Source organism: Homo sapiens, chromosome 18, assembly GCF_000001405.40.
Source record: "Homo sapiens chromosome 18, GRCh38.p14 Primary Assembly".
Classification (NCBI taxonomy): domain Eukaryota; kingdom Metazoa; phylum Chordata; class Mammalia; order Primates; family Hominidae; genus Homo; species Homo sapiens.
The window spans coordinates 35,596,768-35,619,528 of NC_000018.10; the positions used below are offsets into that span (position 1 = coordinate 35,596,768).

A 22,761-nucleotide genomic window follows, 5' to 3' on the forward strand; every position below is an offset into this window, starting at 1 on the left:
CACATCTTAGCCTCTGGCTTTCTCACTGTATTTACTAGAACATCTTTCCAAGACTTGCTGTTCTTATCCTCAGCAGAGCCTCCAGTTCCAACATGAGCCCCAGCACAGTATGTTCATGTTGTACTCCACTGACTGTTCTTCATTCACTACTCAATTGGATTCTTCAGTTGTAGGCAGTAGAATCCACCTCCGCCTAACTTAGCAGGAGTTAATTTATTGGAAAGGAATTAGAAGCTCACAGAACCGATGGAATTCTAGAGAACCAGCCTTGGGAACAGATTAGTGGAAACTAAGGCAACTCTTGGGGGCTAGGAAGCAGAATTGCAGGAGTGACCTGATCAACAGATTACCACTGGGATGATTGAACCCAGTCTGTTCTTTCATCCTTGAATGTTACTTGCCCAAGATTTAAGAGTCCTGGAGAAAGCATCTAGTTGGTGAAACCTAGGTCATGCTGGATGTACCAGGGGTGAGAGTAGGGATTTATAGTATTTGCAAGAACCTCCAGGAATCCCTTTGGCATCCATTAGTGGGAGGGTAGTCATATGGAGTTACATTCTCACTGGGATTATACAAGGGCAGGTAATTCTCCAACAGGAAATTAGGACGTGGGGAGAGATGGATGCTGAGCAGCCAAAATGAAATACCTCCTCCAGACCCCTTGTCAACATTAAATAACTTAATGACTCTTTACATTCTAGTAGTTTACTTATATAAGACAAATAATGACAGTTTGTTTAGTGCTTTTCTCAGTAGAATTTGTATTGTGTCTGATATTGGCCCTTTACATGCTGCTCCTTTAATTATCTCAACAGTCTTGTGATATAGGCAGCTTGTATGAACTGACCTGGTAGTAGGTGTCAGGAGTCAGGGTGCAAACTCAAGCAATCTGGGCTACCTTGCCTATATGCGGTTTAAAACATTATCATGAATTAGTTAATACTTTTAAATGAATTTGGATTCATCGGTCGTTAGCATATGTGTACTTTTAAAATAATAGTCAAATTCATGTAATAAAACAGTTTACATCTTTTAAGTCACAACTTAAGTTCATCTTTTCAACATATATATGTAAATGCCTTGAAATTAGGCATTAAATGCTGTGATTCTTTATGCTGGGGACATTCTAAGACTTCACTTCTAGCTGTTTTGAATTATACAATATATCATTGTTAACTATAGTCACCTGACTATACTATTGAGCAATAGCTTTTCATCTAACTCCCCTCCCCTCCCCTCCCCTCCCCTCCCCTCCAATCCCCTCCCATCCCCTCCCCTCCCTTCTCTTCTTTTTCAACAGAGTCTTGCTCTGCTGCCCAGGGTGGAGTGCAGTGGCGCGACCTCAGTTCACTGCAGCCTCCGGATTCAAGCGATTCTCCTGCCTTAGCCTCCCAAGTAGCTGGGATTACAGTGCCCACCACCACCCCCTGCTAATTTTTGTATTTTTAGTAGAGATGAAGTTTCACCATGTTGGCCAGGCTGGTCTCGAACTCCTGACCTCAGGTGATCTTCCTGCCTCGGCCTTCCAAAGTATTGGGATTACAGGCGTGAGCCACTGTGCCTGGACAATCTAACTGTATTTTTGTACCCAGTAACCAGTCTCTCATCTCCCCTTCTCCTCCCTACCCTTCCCAGCCTCTGGTAACCATCATTTCACTCTCTACCTCTGTGAGATCCACTTTCTTAGTTCTCACATACGAGTGAGAACACGAGGTATTTGTCTTTTTGTGCCTGGCTTATTTCACTTAACGTAATGACCTGCAGTTCCATCCATGTTGTTGAAAATGATAGGATTTCATTTTTTATGGCTGAATAATATTCCATTCTATCTATGTACCACATTTTCTTTATCCATTCATCTATTGATGGATGCTTAGGTTGATTCCATTATTTTGGCTATTGTAAATAGTACTGCAATAAACATGGGAGTGTCTATATCTCTTCAATATACTGATTTCCTTTCTTTTGGATATATACCCAGCATTGGGGTTGCTGGATCATATGGTACTTCTGTTTTTAGTTTTTTAGGAACCTCCATGCTGTTTTCCTTAATGGCTGTACTAATTTACATTCCCACCAACAGCATATAAGGGCTCCCCTGTCTCTGCATCCTTGCCAGCATCTGTTATTTTCTTGTCCTTGTAGTAAAAAGCTATTTTAACTAGGGTGAGATGATATCTCATTGTGGTTTTCATTTGCATTTTCCAGGTGATGTATCCAGGCGTTTTTTTTTTTTTTTTTCATGTACGTGTTGGCTATTTGTATGTCTTCTTTTTATTGAAATCTTTAGCCCATTTTACAATTGGATTATTTGTTGTTTTGCTTTTGAGTTCCTTGTAATTCTGGTTATTAATCCTTCATTGGATGGATAGTTTACAGGTGTTTTCTCCTATTATAAACAGGTTATCTCTTCACTTTGTTGTTTCCTTTGCTCTGCAGAAGCTTTTTAGCTTGATGTGCTCCCATTTGCCTACATTTACCTTTGTTGCCTGTGTTTTTGAGGTCCAACCCAAAAAGTTTTTGCCCAGACCAATGTCCTGAGGCATTTTTGCAGTGTTTTCTTCTAGTAGTTTAATAGTTTCAGGTATGAGATTTACACTTTTTTTTTTTTTTTTTTTTAAGACAAGGTCTCACTCTGTCATTCAAGCTGCAGTGAATTATGGCACAATCACAGCTCACTGTAGCCTTGAACTCCGGGGCTCAAGTGATCCTCCCACCTCAGCCTCCTAAGTAGCTGGGACCACAAACATGCACTGCCACATCCAGCTAATTTTCTGTATTTTGGATAAAGACCTGGTTTCACCAGGCTGGTCCCAAACTCCTGAGCTCAAGCAGTCTGCCCGCCTTGGTCTCCCAAAGTGCTGGGCTTACAGGTGTGAGCCATTACGCCTAGCCAGATTTAAGTTTTTAAATCCATTTTGAGTTGATTTCTGTATATGATGAGAAATAGGGATCTAGCTTTATTCTTCTGTGTATGGTCATATAGTTTTCCCAGCTGGATTTATTGAAGAGACTGTCCTTTCCCCAGTGATTATTCTTCTTGCCTTTTTCAAAAATGAGTTGGCTGTAAATGCGTGGATTTCTATCTGGGTTCTGTATTCTGTTCCATTGATCTTTGTGTCTGTTTTTATGTTAGTATCATGCTGTTTTGGTTACTATGGCTTTCTAATACATTTTGAAGTCAGGTAGTGTGATGCCTACAGCTTTATTCTTTTTGCCTGGGATTGCTATGGCTATTTGGGGTCTTTTGTGGTTCCAATTTAGGATCGTCTTTTCTATTTCTGTGAAGAATGTCCTTGGTATTTTGATAGGGATGCCCTGAATCTGTAGATCACATTAGGTAGGATGGACATTTTCACAATATTAGTTATTCCAATTCATGAGCATGGAATATTTTCCCATTTTTAAAATGTCCTCTTTAATTTCTTTCATCAGTGTTTTATAGTTTTCCTTGTAGAGATCATTCCTTTCTTTGTTTAACTTTATTCCTAGGTATTTTATATTTTTTGTATTTAATAGCTATTGTAGGATTGCTTTCTTAATTTCTTTTTCGTTTTGTTTGATGTTGGTGTGTATTAATGTTAGTGATTTTTGTTGTTGATTGTGTATTCTGCAACTTTACTGGATTTGATTATTGGTTCTAGTAGTTTGCTGATGGAGTCTTAGGGTTTTCTAAATATAATACCATGTTGTTGCAAACAAGGATAATTTGACTACTTTCTTTCCAATTTGGAGGCCCTTTATGTCTTTTTCTTTTTGAATTGCTCTGGCTAGGACTTCCAGTACTGTTTTGAAGAGAAATGGTGAATATGAGCATCCTTGTCTTGTTCCAGATCTTAGAGGAAAGGCTTCAGTTTTTTCCCATTCAGTACAATGTTAGCTGTGGGTTTGTCACATATGGCCTTTATTTTTGCGGGGAGGGGTATGATCCTTCTATACCATTAACATTCTATTAATGTGATGTGTCAAGTTTATTGACTTGCATATTTTGAGCTATTCTTGCATCACTGGGAAGAATCTCACTTGATCGTGGTGAATGATTTTTTTAATATGTTGTTCAAGTTGGTTTGCTAGCATTTTCTTGAGGATTTTTGCATATTACGTTCATCAGGGATATTGGTCTGTAGTTTTCTTTTTTTGTTGTGTCCTTGTCTGTTTTTGGTATATGAGTAATGGTAGCCTAACAGAATGAGTTTGGAAGTATTTCCTTCCTTCTCTTTACTTTTTTGGAATAATTTGAGTAGAATTGGTATTAGTTCATCTTTTAAGTGTTTGGTAGAATTCAGCAGTGAAGCCATCAGGTTCTGGGCTTTTCTTTGATGGGAGACTTTTTATTTACAGATTTAATCTTGTTACTTTTGATTGGTCTGTTCAGGTTTTCTATTTCTTTATGTTTTAATTTTGATGGGTCTTATGTGTTCAGGAATTTATCCCTTTCTTCTAGGTTTTCCAATTTTTTGGTGTATAGTTCTTAATAGTCTCCAATGATCCTCTGTATTTCTATGGTATCATTTGTTAATGTCTTGTTTTTCAGTTTTGATTTTATTTATGTAGGTCCTCTCCCTTTTTTGCTTATTTTCTTAGTCTACCTAAGGGTTTGTTGATTTTATTAATCTTTTCAAAAAACAACTTTTTGTTGTGTAGATCTTTTATATTTTTTGGTCTCAATTTACTTTTTTCCTGTTCTTTATTATTTTTTCCTTCTATTAATTTGGAATTTTTGTTCTTGTTTTTCTAGTTACTTGAGGAGTATTGTTAGGTTGTTTATTTGAAATCTTTCTACTGTTTTGATGTAGATGTTTATTTCTATAAATATCCCATAGATTTTGATACGTTGTGTATCCTCATTATTGATTTCTGGTTTTACTTCATCACGGTCAGAAAAGATACTTGATATAATTTTGACAGATTTGAATTTGTTGAGACTTGTTTTGTGGCCTGCCAGATGGTCTGTCCTGGAGAATGTTCCATGTGCCGATGAAAAGAATATGTATTCTGCAGCAGTTACATGTTCAGTAAATGTGAGTTAGGTCCCTTTGGTCTAGTGTAATTTATATTGTCTTATGACTTAACAGGTTGCTGTAGTTTCTGTTTTTGATAGATTTGTCTTTTAGTCGTCATTCTAGTGATGTGAATGGATTACACATTGCAATTACAGTATTGAGTATTCTGAATTTGTCTGTTTACTTTTACCAGTGAGCTTTATACCTTCAAATGTTTTGTTTTTGCACATCAGCATCCTTTTCTTTCAGATTGAAGAACTCCCTTTAGCATTTGTTATGAGTCAGGTCTAGCAGTGGTAAATACCTTTAGTTTTGTTTGTCTGGGAAATACTTGATCTCTCCATGTCTGGAGGAAAGCTTTGCTGGGTCATCTGGGTTGGTAATTTTTTTTCTTTAGCACTTGGAATATGTTGTCACACTCCCTTTTGGCTTGTGTAGTTTCCAGTGAAGTTTCTTGCCAGATGAATTAGAGCTCCTTTGCATCATGTCATTTGCTTCTTTTTTCTTGCTGCTTTTAGGATCCTCCTTTTGTCCTTGACCTTTGAGAGTTTGATCATTATATCTTGGGGTAGCGTTATTTGGGTTGAATTGTTTGGTGATCTCTGACCTTCCTGTATCTGTGTATTTATATCTTTCTCTAGGTTTGGAAAATTTTCTGTTATTTATTTGAATAAGCTTTCTATCCCCGTCTTTCTCAACTCCCAGTTGAACACCAGTGATTCTTAGATCTTCTGTTTGAAGTTATTCTGTATATCTTGTAGGTGTTCTTTGTTCATTTTTATTCTTTTTTTTCCTCTTCTGACTGTATTTTCCAATATCCTGTCTTCGAGCTCATATTGTTCGGCTTGATCCATTCTCCTGTTGAGACCCTCTAATACACTTTTCAGTTTAGCAAATGTATTTCTCAGTTCCAGGATTTCTATTTCATGTTTTAAAAAACATTTCAATCTTTGGTAAATTTTTCTGATAAATTTCTGAATTGTTTTTCTGTGTTACCTTGGAGCTTGCTGATTTCCCATAGAATTGTTATTTTGAATTCTTGATCTGAGAGCTCGCACATTGCTGTCTGCTTAGGGTTGGTCTCTGGCTTCTCACTTTGTCCTTCTGGGGAAGCCATAATTCCCTGTTTGCTGTTTCTTGTGGATGTATGTCTATGACTTCACATTAAAGGGTTGGTTTTTTATTCCAGTCTTCTCTATATGTCTTGTCTTTCTAGAGTATGTTTGCTTAGAAGTTCTTTGCAGTTGACTGTAATTTTCATTTATCCTAGATCACTGCCTCCTTTTTGGCACTGCATGGTGCCTTAAGTCTAGGTTTTCCTTGGCTCTTGCAAATACTCAGAGCACTGCCTGTCCCAGATGGAGGTGGGAGAGTGGGAGGGTTTTTCTCCTTACAAGCTTCTTGTGGGTTGAGGCAAGAACAGGGAACCCAAGCTGGTGGGGAAGCTGGCCTTTCACCTTGACCTCACTTTTTCCAGTGTAGAAATTGTGAGACAGGGAGGAATTTTCCATGTGCAGTGCCTAGCAGATTGTGGGAGGGGTATTGTGGAGAGAGAAGTCTGTTTCTCTTACTGTCTGCTTGGAGTTTTTCCACTTCTCTGTGGCCCTGGAGATCTTACTAGCCTCAGATTCAAGTTCTGGGGTATTGCTGGTGATATTCTTGGGACTGAATATTTGTTTTTGGTTTTCTGCAGAGGAGGGTAAAGCCAGATTGCTGCAATTTTGGTAACATCACTTCCTCTATACATATTTTAAATGGTAGCATCATGTATTTGTGACACACACACGTTAATTTATTAATTTGTTTTGAAAGTGTTAATGAGGCAATTCCTTACCTTCCCAAGACTTGTGGACTGTATATAGATTAGGAAACCCTGGCTGTCCTCGTAGTGGCATGTGATTATCTCCCAATCATGACTTCTCTTCTTCCCCACTGTGTGGCAATCATTGGTGGACCCTGGAGCTCCATCCCTCTACAGTTAAGCCAGCTCTAAACTTTGCCCTCCCCTGGAACTAACAGTTATGTGAGCCAGTAAATTTCCTCGTGTTTAAGCAGTTTGAGGTGGAATTTCTGATCTCTTAAAGCTAAAGGTATCCCAACTGATGTAGTAATGCAGAATTAGAATGTAAGGAAATAAGAGGGTTTTTCTTTATTTTTTTCTTTCCAACTTTTAGGTTCGGGGGTACATGTGCAGGTTTGTTACATGGGTATATTGCATGCCACTGGGGTTTGGTGTGCAGATTCTTTCATCACCCATGTAGTGAGCATAGTACTTGATAGATAGTTTTTCGATCCTCACCCTCCTCCCACCCTTCACCCTCAACTAGGCCCCAGTATCTATTTTTACCCTTCTTTGTGTCCATGTGTACTCAATGTTTCGCTCCCACTTATAAGAACATGTGGTATTTTGGTTCCTATTTTAATTCACTTAGGATAATGGCCTCTATTTGCATTCATGTTGTTGCAAAGGACGTGATTTTGTTCTTTTAAATGGCTGCGTGGTACTCCATGGTGTATATGTACCACATTTTCTTTATCCAGTCAACTGCTGATGATGGGCATCTAGATTGATTTCATGTCTTTGCTATTGTGAGTAGTGCTGCGATAAACATACACGTGCATGTGTCTTTATGGTAGAATGATTTATATTCCTTTGAATACATACCCAGTAATGGGATTGCTGGGTCAAGTAGTAGTTCTAAGTTTTTTGAGAAATCTCCAAGCTGCTTTCCACAGTGACTGACCTCATTTACATTTCAACCACCAGCATATAAGCATTTCCTTTTCCCTACAGCTGCACCAGCATGTTATTTTTTGACTTTTTAATAATAGTCATTCTGACTGGTGTGAGGTGATATCTCACTGTGATTTTGATTTGCATTTCTCTAATGATTAGAGATGTTGAACATTTTTTCATATGCTTATTGGCCGTGTGTATGTCTTCTTTTGAGAAGTGTCTGTTCATGTTCCTTTGTCCATCTTTTAATAGGATTGTTTGTTTTTTGCTTGCTGATTTGATAACAAGATTTTTATGTTGGTATTTATAAGTTGAACACCAAGATATTGCTAAATAGGCTAGTCCCTCAATCTGGCATGTTAGAAACTGCGTAAATTAGGACTCAGAGGACCACCTGGTTTTAGTTTCTACTTTGCCACTCCCTACCTATATCACTAGACCTAAATTTCCTGAACAGTAAAAACAAGGATGTTGCCCTGAATAAGCTATAATTTACTTTTCATCTCAGATATTCTTTAATTTTGGAACCCATGCAAAATATCTGGTTAAATTTAATTAGGAGTTAAGAAGGTGAGGATTTTGCAGAACAGGTGTCTCAGATCTTTACTGTATTTATTATGGTTTCATAGTCTAGTAGCCCCAAGATGTTCTGTTTCTACAACTTCTCTGTAAATGGCACTGGCAAAGTCTTTTAACAGTGTTTTAGAAACTTTTTTTCTGACCTGGCACGGTGGCTCACGCCTGTAATCCCAGCACCTTGGGAGGCCGAGACAGGTGGATTGGAATTCAAGACCAGCCTGGCCAACATGGTGAAACCCCGTCTCTACTAAAAATACAAAAATTAGCCGGGTGTGATGATGGGCATCTGAAATCTCAGCTATTCAGGAGGCTGAGGCAGGAAAATTGCTTGAACTGAGGAGGCGGAGGTTGCCGTGAGCCAAGATTGTGCCACTGTATTCCAGTCTGGGCCCAGACTCTGTCTCAAAAAAAAAAAAAAGAAAAAGAAAAATTTTTTTCTCTCAGGTGCTTAAAACGAGCAGTATTTTTATTTTTTAAAACTCTTAGATCTCCCTCCCTCCCTTTTTCTTCCTTTTTTTAACACTCTCAGATCTTCCTCCCTCCCTGTTTCTTCCTTTTTTTAATTGTGGAAAATTTCTAATATGTATAGAAGTATAGAGAATAGTATAATGAACCCTCATATACTCATCATCTAACCTCAGTAATTATCAACATTTTGATAGCCTTAAAATCAGTAGCTTTAAGGTGCTTGCATTTGACTCTTCTAAATAGGGACTTTTTTCCAGCTGAACTCTAGACCTAAGCTAGGCATCTCTTGCTTCAGTGTTTCAGTTGCCTGCATGTTTGTTTAAGGTACTGTTCTTTTTAGCATCATAAGAAGGTATAGCACTGTGAAAACTAGTCTTTGTATTAGCAGTTCTGGCGAAACAATTATGAATATTTAGGCATTCATATTTGTACATATCAAGGTAGGATAAGTTATACTGTGCTAACAGTCTATCCCAAAACCTCAGTGGCTTAAAACAACAAAACTTGTTGGTCTTGTGACTGATTGACTGGGGCCTTGGTTCTGCCTCACCCTCCCTCTGGAACCAAGCTGAAAGAGCAGTTACTGTCTTGATTGTTGCCAGCACCATTGTAGAAGGAAAGAGAGCAGGGCAAATTGTGTGCAGTCTCATAAAGCTTCCGCCTGGAAGTGAGTCATGGCATTTCTGCTCACACTTGGCCAAAACAAGTCACGTGACTAACCTATATTTCTAGGGGATGGAAAAGTGCAAACTTATCATGTATTGGTGAAAAGAACCAGAAATGTTTGGTAGGCAACACTAATGACTATCACAGTATTGTGAGAAATAGAAAATTTCACCTGTCTTTCAACTTGATGTATGACAGCTAAGGCTTCAAGAATTGTTTACCCTCATGCGACAAGTGTAGGTAATAGTATTAAAGTTATCCTCATTATTTTCTTAGCTGTTATTTTAAAGCCACTTTTAGACTAGTTAATTAGAAGTCCTCAGAGAAGGAATACCAATTTCTAGATTGGATCCCAAATTCTTTCTGGGAGGTACAGACTTTTCCCTTCTCTAAGGTGATACAGTCAGCATATCAGAGAAGGGGCAGAATAGTTGTGGCTTCTTTACTTCTCATTATAGGAAGACCTTGCCCATCACTGTCCCTCTTCCTTTTTAAAGTAGGATTTTGATTTCAGTTGTGACATGGGTAAAATGCCAGGTCAGACTCTTGGATGTTTCAAGTGGGGTTTGGGATTCCAGATCAGATCTCTTTGTTGATGTTTTGTGTGTGTGTGTGTGTGTGTGTGTGTGTGTGTGTGTGTGTGTGTGTGTGTTTGGAGGCTGGGATTTATAGATTGTGACCATCCACTGTGAGAGACATAGTCATAGCACTGGCCATATTTATATCACATTCCAGAGGAAACTGCCTGACCCCCACAGTTCCTGCTCAAAGGTGCTCTTAGTTGGTCATATTTTGTACCCCTCAGAAGTGAGCACCAGACTCAAGGCAGCCAGGTCAGTAGCACCTGCTGTGATATGACCTGGCTTGAAAAGATAAGTAGGCTGGCCACTCTGCCCTCTTCCTGAGAATTTAACTTCCCAGTCTAAGACAGAGGCCCTGAGTCTAACACAGTGCCATGGGAGAGTAAAAAAGCCATTATCATTCGTAGGCAGTTTGAGGCAATCAGAGGAAGTGAGGGTGGAGAAAAAAGAGAGAGCAGAGTTGATTGGGGATGAAAAGAGAAGAGGCTCTTGGAGTGTTGTCCTCATGGAGTCCTTGAGAGACACTAATCCTTCTGCTGGGGTCCTTGGTGGGGCCTTGTGTTCTGCCAGAGCCATTGTGTTTCTGCTTCCTTCTGTGATGCCTTACTCTATGGTTGTTTCTGCCCTGTTTGGCTTGGGATTCCTGGGTTCCTTGCATGCATGCTGTAGCATAGGATTGGGTGTTGGTACTAGTTACATACAGAGGCTTAGTGTAAGAGTAACTGAAGCAAGGAAGAGGTACTTCTGTCTCATGTCTAAATCTGGACTTATACAGCTCATGTATGAGGCTGGGGGCTGGTATGGTGGCTCCATGGTTTTCTGGGATCTTAGTTGTTCTAACTTTCGTATTTGCTGACTCGGGCTGGTCTTCATCCTCATGGTCTCAAATGAAACTTCAACTATCATATTGTCATTCCACGCAGTAGAATGGAGGAAGGGTGAAAGAACGGTCATGCTACAGTCCTTTTTAGACACCTATGTGAAGTTACACTCAAGGCTTCCTGTCATATATCAACTAGAACCTCCAACTAGTCACTCCAAGGGTAACTTGGAACTATATCTTTATTCTAGTGGTCCATGTACCTAGCAAAAATTGGGGGTTCTGTAACTGCTGGAAGGGACATGAATATTGGGGGATGTCTTGCAGTGTGCTTCATATATGTTTTAAAATTTTTTTGATATAAATTTAGGGTAACTGCCAATTTTTATTTTAAAAATAGGGATTTGGGGGAATTACCTTGAATCTATACAGCAGTTTTTATATTTTAACAATATCAAATCATCTAGTAGCTATTTCTTAGATCCCTCTCTAGTTAGTTAGATATTTTAAAATTTTTCTCAGTAATATTTTTTGTTTTTCAATGAAGTTGTCTTACTGCTAAGTTTATTCCTAAAATTTTGTGGGTTTTCTGCTATTATAAAAGGATGTTTTAACTTACATTTCTAATTGTTTGCTACTAATCTGTAGAAATGCAATTGATTAGATTATGTTGATCTTTTACTTTGCATGCTTATTAAATTTAATGTTTTTTAAGATTTCTAAGAATTTTGCCAATAAATAACCATGTAATTTATAAATAGAGGTAGTTTTATTTCTCCCATGCTTCCTGTATCTTAAAAGTAAACTCCCTGTTGCTTGAGGCCACCTCTGTGCCTTGGTGTGAAAAGAGTGTAAAACACCACTCAGAATCTTCTTGTTTGATTTAATGCCTAATTTGTACCTAGGTTTCTGCTGTACTGATTGTTTCAGCCAAACTAAACAAAGATTCACTTTGTTTCTTCATTTAATAAACCTTAGTGTCTATTATGTACTCTAGGTGTGGTACTAGGCATTGTAGACACAAAAGAAAGACACGAAAATGAAATATGTGATCTTTTCCCTCAAGGAGCTCACAGTTTGGCAGAGGCAACTGAATAAGTAAAAATAATATAGTATGATAAATGCAGTAATAAAGATCAACATTCAAGGTATAAAGTATACATATACTACTAGAATGACAGAAAAGAAGGACTAGTTTTCTGCATCTTCCAGCTCTCTTATTTCTTCAAGACACGGGAAATAACTAAGCACTAGCCATCATAGGGGCACTGTAAGTCCAAATGCAGGTGTTCTTTCTTACAAGAGTTTTCCAGTTCTTCCTTATTAGTGAACAGAGTAAAAGCTTTCTCTAAACAAATCCCTGAACCTACCACAGTAAAGAGCAATCACATATGTATAATGCTTTATGTTATAGAAAACTCTTCTCATTACAAACCCAGTTTTCCAGAAATCCAGTTACCCAGTTTTGTCAGACTAAGATTTCTTTTGGCATTTTTAAAATAGCAGTCTGTGTTTATTGACCTAGCTTGCCACTGGTGGTGTGTTTTACTTTAAATCTTATCCCTCTTTACTTTTCTTCTGCCTTTGTCTTTAGAAAGTTGGTCTTTGATTGATATTAGTGGTACTGTAGAGGATAGCTATGCTAAGCTTTGATTGAAATGGAATTTTAATACAAAAAAAATTCAGGTCAGTTAAATCTCTGTCATTTTATGCAGAATATATGGAATAACATGAGATTAATAGAGCATTGTTCCTGCAGCCCATCTCTTGGGATATGGAAATAGCTTGGCTTTTCAGACCTCATGTTTGAGATGGTGTTTGCTCTTGGATAATTTTGCCTGGAGCGCCTTGCTGCCCTTGAGCCTCTTCTGTGTGTGCTGTCATAGTATGTGTTAAATGTAGGAATTGAAAGCACTGCTATGCATGATAGTTTACTTAGATTAATTGTAGCTCTAAATTTTGTGTTTTAATTCTTCACTGTCTTGGCATCATAGATGTTGGACAGTCCAAAAAAAGGAAGTTTTCCTATAAGATAATTATTTTTTAATGGAGGATGGGCACAACATTTCATCAGAAGCATTTGGGAGAAAACAGTGACCAGGAGACAGAGTGGATTTTTAAAAAATATTGATTGTAATCAACTGCCCACTCTTTGCTTAGTATTAATACCCTTAGATTCTTTACATTGAAGACATAGGTTTTAACACTGACATCCCAAATAATAATTAATGTTTTTACTATTTAAAAATGAAGTTAATCCCTAGGATTTGGTTGTTCTTCAGTATACATTTGATCCTTTTAGATCGAGGTTGAAAATAGTTCTGAAAGTCATTTTTTGAGATGAATGGAACACAGATCATTTCAATTTTTTAATTTTTATTATGCCTGGAACCATGAAGATACACTTTTATGGATCACAGAGTGTTCAAATTTCAAGGAATAGAACAGCTATATAATTTGTGAGGCCATTTTAGACAGAGAAAGCAACACCTGTGCAGACATGGAAGCCAGAGAAAGCATGACGTAATTGGGCAGCTGGGAGTGGTTGGATGTGAATGAAGAGCAGGGCATGGGAAAGAGGTGCAGAGTGGAACCAGGGTGTGGTCTCTGCCTAGAAGGCCCTTCTGCAGGATCTTCCTGTGTCTGGCTCCCTGCTCTTCCAGGCTGCTTCTCATTGCCCTGCCTCAGAGAAGCCGTTCCTGATCACCTAGGATAAAGTAGCCACCCAGTCACTTGCTAACAAGCCAACTCCTCTTTTTGTTTGTTTATGGAGCGTTCCTTACTGGCTGTCACTTTTTGTTTATTGTCTGTGTCCTAGTGCTTTACTATAGTTCCATGAGAGCAGGGACCTTGTCTGTCCTGTTTATTGCTGTAGATCTAGAGCCCAGCATAAAACTGGCATTTAATAAATGTTTGTGATGGGAATATAAGTGGATTTTTTTATTATGGATTTTGAATTTTCTTCTGTGAGTTAATTGTTCTTAATCCAGTAGTTCTCTAAACCCTTTTACACTTTTAGAAATTACTGAAGACCCCGAAGAGTTTGTTTTGTGGGTTCATATGTATTGATATTTACCAAATTAAAGATAACCTAGACATTTAAAAATAATTTATTTAAAATAATAGACTTGTGATATGTTAATATAAACATTTTTATGAAAAATAACTTTTCCAAAACAAAAAAAGTGAGAAGTGTGGCATTATCTGACATTTGTGTAAATCCCATTAGTGTCTGGCTTCTCATAGCTGGATTCTCATACCCTCTTTTTTCCATTCAGTCTATTGATACTGCATATCATGTAGCCTCTGGACCTCAGCCACATGCTTAGGAGGGAATGACAGTAAACAGGCAAATGGTGACTTGGCATAGTATAAAAATAGTCTTGACCTTGCAGACCCCTTGAAAGGGTCTTGATGACCCCTTGAGTTGGATAGGGTGGGGGTCTTTGTACTACATTTTCAGAACTGCTGCTGTAGGTGGATGATTTTCAAACTTTTTAGTAGCAGGAGTATATTTTCAAATATCTCCTAACAAGTTCCAATGCATAGAAAAGATAAAGGTGGAGCTGTTTTGGTTAAAGTGCATATGTGGTGGGAATACGGATTCGGGAGCAGGGGAAGGTCCCTGGAGCCATGCTTTCACTTTTTTTCTCATTTTTTGGCTGAGCTACTAAATTGGCCAAGGGATTGATACCTCTAAGGCAGGAATACTGTGTGAGAGAAAGTGAGGCAGTTGAACATACTGCAGAGACTTTCCACCCTGTGCCATAGTTTAACTTTCAGGTATTTTATTTAATAGCTTTTTAATATTTTATATAAGTCAGTAAGAAAATTTGCTATAATTTGCAGCAACCTTAGAGAAATATTTATGTAATCGAATGTTATCTAACTCAGGTTTTTAAAAGACAATTTGCTCTCTTTATACATCTGAGAGTATGTAAAATAAAATTCAATCAAGGTCCAATATGTAATCAGACAAAAGTAAGGATGTGGAGGAAGTTTAATATTGGGAATTGGTAATCTAATTGTATGTGCCAAATGCAGGAGGAATTCTCATGGTCTTGAGAGTGGAGGGAATGGCAGCTGGCCAGAGGCTGCCTAGAGCTTGGACCCTGTGTTAGGCAGCACCACCACCAGCTAATGGTAATACGTTGTTGTGGTAAATGCAGTGTTTGACTGCCTTGGGAAACATTCTTAACTCAGTCTGTTTTGTTTCTGTGTAAAACTGTTTCTAATCTTTTTTGTCTTGAAAAAAGGATCCTGACAAAAGTTTCCCACAAAGCTTCTGTTTTTACACAAAAATCCTGTCTCTAAATTTGTAGGCCTTGCCCTTTGGGAGTTTTATCTGACAGGCAATATAAAGTGTCCTCATTACCATCATTATTTATTACCTGTATCATTAAAAAAGACATCATTTATTATATGTAATTATATCACAGTGTTTATATAAAATATGAGCTCTAGCTTTGTTGTCTACATTTTAAGAGAAGGAAAAATTGAGAGATAAAGGGAAAAGTAATGAAAATAATTATAAGGCTGCAAAATACTGTCTTAGGTTTGGATTTAAATATTTTTAAGATGTGATTTAATAACTTCACACATGATTCTTATGAAAAGAGAAAAAACCTGTTTTAATGAGTTAAAAATAGGGTACATCTCCATGAAAGATAGAAGGAGATATAATTGGACAATTTGCCTTCTGGATTAGGTTTAAAATTCAAAAGAACTGCCTAATAGTGATACTAATTAAATTCTAATTATCTTTAGAAATGTGAAAGATAAGTCTGCTAATTTAACCATTTTTTCAGTAAAAGCTTCACTCTAAGCCTATCGTGTTTATTTTTATATTTGTTTAATTTTTTTGAACAAATAGCATCATAAATTTTTTAGCATTTCCAATTAATATTAAAGTGTGCCCCAATTTCTTTGAAGTAGATGGAGTCATGTAGTATTAACCTTTCTAGGCCGGGCGTGGTGCTCACGCCTGTAATCCCAGCACTTTGGGAGGCCAAGGCATGGATCACCAGATGTCAGGCATTCAAGACCAGCCTGGCCAACGTGATGAAACTCTGTCTTTGCTAAAAATACAAAAAATTAGCTGGGCATGGTGGCAGGTGCCTGTAATCCCAGCTCCTCGAGAGGCTGAGGCAGGAGAATTGCTTGAACCCAGGAGGTGGAGGTTGCAGTGAGCTAATATCGCACCATTGCACTCCAGCCTGGGCAACAAGAATGAAACTCTGTCTCAAAAAAAAAAAAATCCGTAGGCAGCTCTCCATCATACCTCACACCAGGAGAGGAGGAAAGTACCCATAGTTTCTTAAAATTTTATGTTTAAAAAAATTAATCAGTGGTATGTTATAGGGAAGTAAGAAATGTTTTAGTAATAGCTACCTTGTTTAAGATCGCAGCTCCTCTCCACCAGGCACTCATGGTCCTCCCTACCTGACTACTCAATTTTTCTTTCTTTCCATTGCAATACCTTCTGTGCTATAATCTAGTTTACTTATGTTTATTATTTCCTGTCTCCTACTCTGCTCCTACAGAAGTGCTTTGAATGCATTGATCTTTGTTTAGTTTACTGATACGTACTGAGTGCCTAGAATATATTTGTTAATTCAATGAATTGCTTTTCCTTTGGCTTCTAGAAGTGGATGTACATTTCTTTTGGGGAAAAATACTCAGCAGACTATTCAAAACTTTAAGAGGCTTCTGTTTCTGGCAGCGTGGCAGAGTAGAGGTTAAAAAAAAGGTCCCACATTATGAAATGTTAAAAATACTGGACTTAATATTCAAAATATCTTTTAAATGCATCGTTGAGCTGACAAGAGGTAAGGAAACTTTCCAGAGGCCCAGAACAAGAAATCTTGAATCCAGGGAGGTAAGTTAGTAGTGATACTGGCTCCCGTGCTGAGGGTTCTGGTATTTGTAAGTCCTTCAAAACCCAGAACTTTGGCTTTTGCAGGGTGGCCATAGGGTACCAGACGGTGTCTAGGGATCAAGCAGTTGCTAAGTAAGATCCAGAGACCTTTGTGTAAAGCTGAAGCTCCCTGAAAGCTGTCAGTGGGTTTAACTAGGAAAAAGCAAAAAACCTATCCCTCAGTGGTTGGAAAAGTATAGGGTAGGGAGCATAGGAACAAGGTTGCCTGTTTCAGCTTTTCACTGGAAGGGTAAAATAACCTTCCCCGAAAAATTATAACTGCAGTTCCACTCTAACTGGATTTGGGGTTGAAGTTCATACTACCTTAATGGTGGGGGAAAAAAAAACAACCAAGCCAAGAATTTAGTGAAAAGTAGTCTCAGTCTCAGGACTGAGAATCAAATGAAATCCTCACTGGAGAAATACAGGAACACAGGCCTCAGAGAATTGACACAGGTAAAGTTTCTTCCTAGAAATGCATTCACAATTTAAAAAACCAAAAACACTTTATATAAACCATGAGTTAATCAGCAGAGCAAGGAGACCGTGTAATCAGGCATTCAAACATTGCAGATATTGTAGTTGTCAGATATGTAATATAAGATAAATGCTTAATATGTTTAGAGAGTATAAAATACGGCTAAAGAGCAAAAGACTATCAAAAATAATTAGGCAAGTTGAATTCAGCAGTGTATAAAGGAAATACTGGATATTGAACAAAGGGTTTATTCCAGGAAGGCGAGCTTGGTTCTGCATTAGAAGGACTATTAATGTAATTATCGACACAAGCAGTTTAAAGTTAAAAAAACCATATCATCCTAAAATATACAGAAAAAGAATTTATTAAAATTCATCTCTCTTTTATGGTAAAAACTCATAACAAACTAAGAACAGAAGGGAAATTCTGTAACCTGACAAAGGGCATCTGTGAAAAACCTACAGCAAACATAGTATTTGATAGAGAAACATTAATGGTATTCCTTTGAAAAACAGCAGCGATATAAAGATGCCCACTGTTACCCTGCCTCTTCACAATTGCACTGGAGATATGAGTTAGTGCAGTAAAGCAACAAAGAGCTACAGGGCTATGAGGAATGAACAGAATGGTCATTCCTTAGAGTGAATATAAGTACCTTCATAGAAAATTCAGGAGTTTATTAAGTTGCGAATATATGATTGATATAGTAAAATTTAAGGACTAACATCCAGAATCTGCAAGGAATGCCAATTAATCAACAAGAAGATCATTATGGTAAAGTCAGTTCTATTACTCTAAACTAGCAGCATACAATAATAAATGTAATAAAAATATTTCTCAATAGTAAAAAAAATAAAAAGCCACCTAGGAATAAATAGAAAAAGAGAGGGCAAGATCTTTAAATAGAAAGGTATAGAAATATATCGAAGGACATTAAGAAGACCTAAATAAATGTGACGACATACCATGTTCATAGAAAGAAGGTTTCCTATAAACGTATCAATTAATCTGTCTTTAATATATGAATTTATTGCTATTAAAAAAAACACCCAGCAGGGTATGGTTTTGTTTGTTTTTGTGGAATTTGACCAGTTAATTCTAAAATTTATTTGGAAATACAAAGGGTCAAGAATGGCTAAGACATTCCTGAAGCAAGTACTTGTCTTACAAGATTTTAAGATAGTGTAAAACTTTAATCATTGAGATGGCATAATATTTGGACAAGCATAGACAAATAGATAATGGAAGGAAGTTAAGGCAAAAACCAGAACTCTAAGTACGTGGAAAGCTAATACATGACAGAGCTAATGTTACAAATCAAGGAAATGGAATACGTTTTAAATGGTTGGGATTCTTAGCCACATTTTAAAAAATGGTTTTTACTAACACTGTATTAAAAAAAGCAATTTCAGATGGATTAAAGACTAGATTGTGAAAGGCAAAACTTAAGCCTCCAGAATAAAATATTAGAGAGTATTTTAGACCTCAGGCTTTGGAAGCCAAAAGCACAATTGTTGAAGGAAAAGGTTTATTAATTTGGCTGTACTAAAATTAAGATCTCTTGGGTTTTGTGTGCATGGAAAGGAGAGTGTAAAGACTAGTCACAAATACACAAGTAGAATATATTTTGCATACAAAGGATAAGGATTTTTAGAATCAGTAATGCACACACCCATATGTCAGTACGCATACATACGTAAGTGTGAAAACAGTTAATGGCAGAAGAAAGCAAGAGCTGTTTCTTAGGAGAAAAATGAATAGCCAGTAAACAGTTGTTTTCAGGGAAATACAAATTAAAGCTACATTGACAAAATTGTAAAAGTTGGACATTGTCAAGTATACCACTGCACTACTCCATGGCAGAGGTTGGCAGACTTTTCTGTAAAGGGCCAGATAGTAAGTATTTTAGCCTTTGCAGGCCGTACAGTCTCTGTAAAGGCCAACAACTTTGACGTTGTAGTGCAAAAGCAGCTGTAAACCATATATAAATGAATGAGAGTGGCTGCATTCCCATAAAATTTTATTTACAAAAATACTAGTTTGCCACCCCTTGCTCTATGACACCAAAGTTAGTGAACTACATCAATATGGATGAGTCTTAAAAACGTAATGTTGGATTTAAAAGGTAGCAGAAGAATACATTATAATATGATTTAATTTATGTAAATTGCAGAGGTAGACAAGGTAAAGGATACAGGTTTGTGGGTTTCATCATAGTTGCTGGGACCTGACTAATTTTGAATTCTGGCCTTGACATGTATAGTCTATGTGACGCTGGCCAAATTACCTAACTTTTTAAAGTGTCAGTTTTCCTATCTGTAAGATGGTGTGCATAATAGTACCTGGCTTACTGGGTTGTTGGGAGTATTGTTATACAGTGCCCATCAAAGTGCTCAGCACACAGTAAGTGCTTGGTAATTGTTGTTATGCTTTTATTCTCCTGTTTAATTTATATCTCTATTAAAAGAAATATAGCTGTTATTGCTTTGGACACTGGGTGTTTTTTTTATCTGACCTGCATTGCATATGGCTAATGAGAAGTACTAAGGCTTGCATATCCTCACCTGAAGTCTTGAGTAATGTTTGATTCCTTTTGCTTAGCACAGGTTGTAAAACCTTCTAGTGTTTTAGTGTTGTGTTTTAATCTCCACATTCATGGTAGCTTGCTGAATACTTGGCAGAAACAGCTTCCAGTGTCACGTAATCTTTCTCTGTGGCAGTTAGCATCGTCTCAGACTCCTTTTTCAGAGCTCTCTCCTCCTTTGTATTGGCACCACTCTTCAAATTCTGTGACTTCTCAGACCTTCCAGTCCTCTAGTATGGTCCACCCCTCAAACTTCTGACTCTTCAGCTTCCTCAGCTGAAAATGAAGATAAAACCCACTTGAAAGGGTTGTTATTAGGATAAAATTCTCTCTCTAATGCCTAAGCCACTGAGGAACCCTGTAACCATAGATCCTGACTCATTTATGCCAGAGTGAGGTGTGGTATGAAAACAAACAAAACTTTATGAGTAGTTCCTTCCCCATTTGAGCAGCAGTGACGGGTGAATGTAATGCAAGCGGCGCATTGCAGGCATTCAGACAGCTCCCCCCTCCATTTCCTGTCTGTGGCTACTGTTCTCTAGACTCTTCTCTCACACCACCAAGAATCATTTATTACAGGTATTTATATTGACCATTTCCTCCCTAAGGACAGTGATGTTGTCTAACTCATCTTTGTTCTCATATGGTCTGGTAAAATGCTTGGCATATAGTAGGGCAGTTAACAAATTTGTTAAGTGAACAAATGTCTACTATATGCCTTGCTTTTGTTCACAGAACACCAGTGTATGCAGTATTTGGCCTGCCAAAGTAAGATGTTAAATCCAAAGTAAGATGTTAAATCCTAATTTAGCGTTTAGCTATCTGAAACACGTTTAAAAGTTACTTCTTTGTTTTAACATCATATTTCGAGAAATTCTAACATATATAAAAGTAGACAGAACAGTGAAACGAGCCCTCTTAAACCTGTATCCATTCTCCAGATTCAGCAAACACATTTTCCCACTTGTGTTCCACCTCTCAATCTAACCTCACTCCCCTGCTCTTAAGCCCAAGTATTTTAAAGCAATGGAAGACATCATGTCATTTTACCTCTAACATTCTTCAGTATAGATCCTTTAAAATGAGAACATTTTGAATATGACCACAATGCTGTTAACATTCCTAATTAACAGTGATTGCTTAGTAGCATCTGTAACCCAGTTCATAATCATATTTCCTCAGTGGTCCCTAAAGTGTCTTTTTAAGTTGATTTGTAGATTCAAAACTCAAAACAAGATCAACATAGCACATTTAGTTTTTTTAAAAAAGCTTTCCTTAAAAAAATAAAAACAATACCTATTTTAAAAATTATTTCTCTCCCTTTCTCTTCTTCTTTTCTTTTCGATAACTCTTCAGATTAGGGTTCTTTATAATGAAACCATAAACTTTGCTCTAGCAGATAAAGGTTTCATCTTTTAAGACTGCTTTGCTGTTCTTTTTTTTTTTTTTTGATAGCCAAGCACTTAACATGTATAGAGAGCACTACTGCAGTTAACAGCACAGCAAAATGCAAAACTGTTAACTGCTCTGATTTTTCTTGTGCAATGAGATAGCATTATGTGCAGTACCATTAGGAAAATAATTTTACATCATTTTCATTCATAATTAACATTATTTACATTAAATGTAGTCTAAACCTGTAAAATAATCTTGTATTCATTAAAAAGTATATATTCTTTGGTATGTTTAGTTTAAATACATCTTTAAAAAATTTTAGTTATTCCTCTTGAATTTATGGTTAGGGTCTCAAGAAGGAAGCTTGAGACTAGACTGTAATGTGTGTTTGAAAAAGACTGCTCATGGATGAACTTAATTCTTAAATTCTCTAAAGCTCAAGTGGAGAAATGACATCTGCAAAAAATTTATCTTTTAGTTGCATTATGGGTAATAAAGACAAACATGTGTAACTGTTTAGTGTATTTAAAAGAAAAGGAGAGATAACCCAAGTGATTAGAGGTTTTAGTAGAATAGTTTTGAGAATTAGAATTTTAAAAAATAATACAAAAGAAATGTTTGAGTTATTGATGTGAATTAAATAGCAGGTTTATTTCAGAGTTTTTTTTTTCCAACAATTTACTTAACTTTCCTATTACATTGTTAAGTAAAATGTCAACTTAATTGTACTGCACTGTTTTTGTTTGTTTGTTTGTTCTGAGAGCAGGAAGCAAATCCTATAATCAGCCCTCCAAAGAGCTGAAACAAATATGAAGAAAAGGCGCTTGAGGTCATCCCCTAGAATGGATCTTAACTGATAGCAATGCAGAAGCAGCCTGAGACTACAGGGCAGACCGAGTTGAGGGAGGGAGGCAGAGAATAGCTTTTCACAGGAAAATCAGCAGGCAAGAATGCAAAACAATCACTAACGCTATAAACTAAGAGACGTTAAATGACATTAGGGAGAGACTAGTAAGAGAGAAACCAAGTTAGAAAACACAGCAACTTAAAAACCGATATGCCAAATTACTGATTAGTTAAGGAAAAAAGGAAGGGTATGGTTGTTTTGCAGTGTGTGGTACCTGCGATAAATCTGTAAGGTAGAATTTGTGACTAACCAGAACACTGTCTTTCTGTAACATGCTAATATATGTTTTGTTTTGTTTTTTCAATGGTAACTAAATATTTCAGGCTATTATTAGGGCCAAAAATCTAAAATCTACCCCTAACTCAAGTTTTGGTTTTTATTTGTTCTGTTGAGCAAATCTGAAAACTTTTTAGATCTCAAAAGGTCGCTTAAGTTAGTAACCTAGTAACATCAGACAGTGTATTAAGGAAAGCAATTCTCAAAAGAACCTTCATGCTTACAAATGTAAAAAAAAGAATTTCATCTAAGGGTACTACTGTCCTTTGAGATTTTTTTTCTTCTTTTTCTCCTCACAGATGATCCAGTTATACAGGAGGAAAAGTATGGCACTGAGCTCTGGGGAATGC

The 22,761-nt window shown here is 37.1% G+C and overlaps 1 protein-coding gene across 11 annotated transcripts in view; it reads left to right on the forward strand.

Moving 5' to 3' along the window:
- Positions 1 to 22,761, forward strand: part of GALNT1 (polypeptide N-acetylgalactosaminyltransferase 1) — a 130,913-nt gene that overhangs the window by 15,846 nt on the left and 92,306 nt on the right. The gene's annotated exons all lie outside the window — the stretch shown is intronic.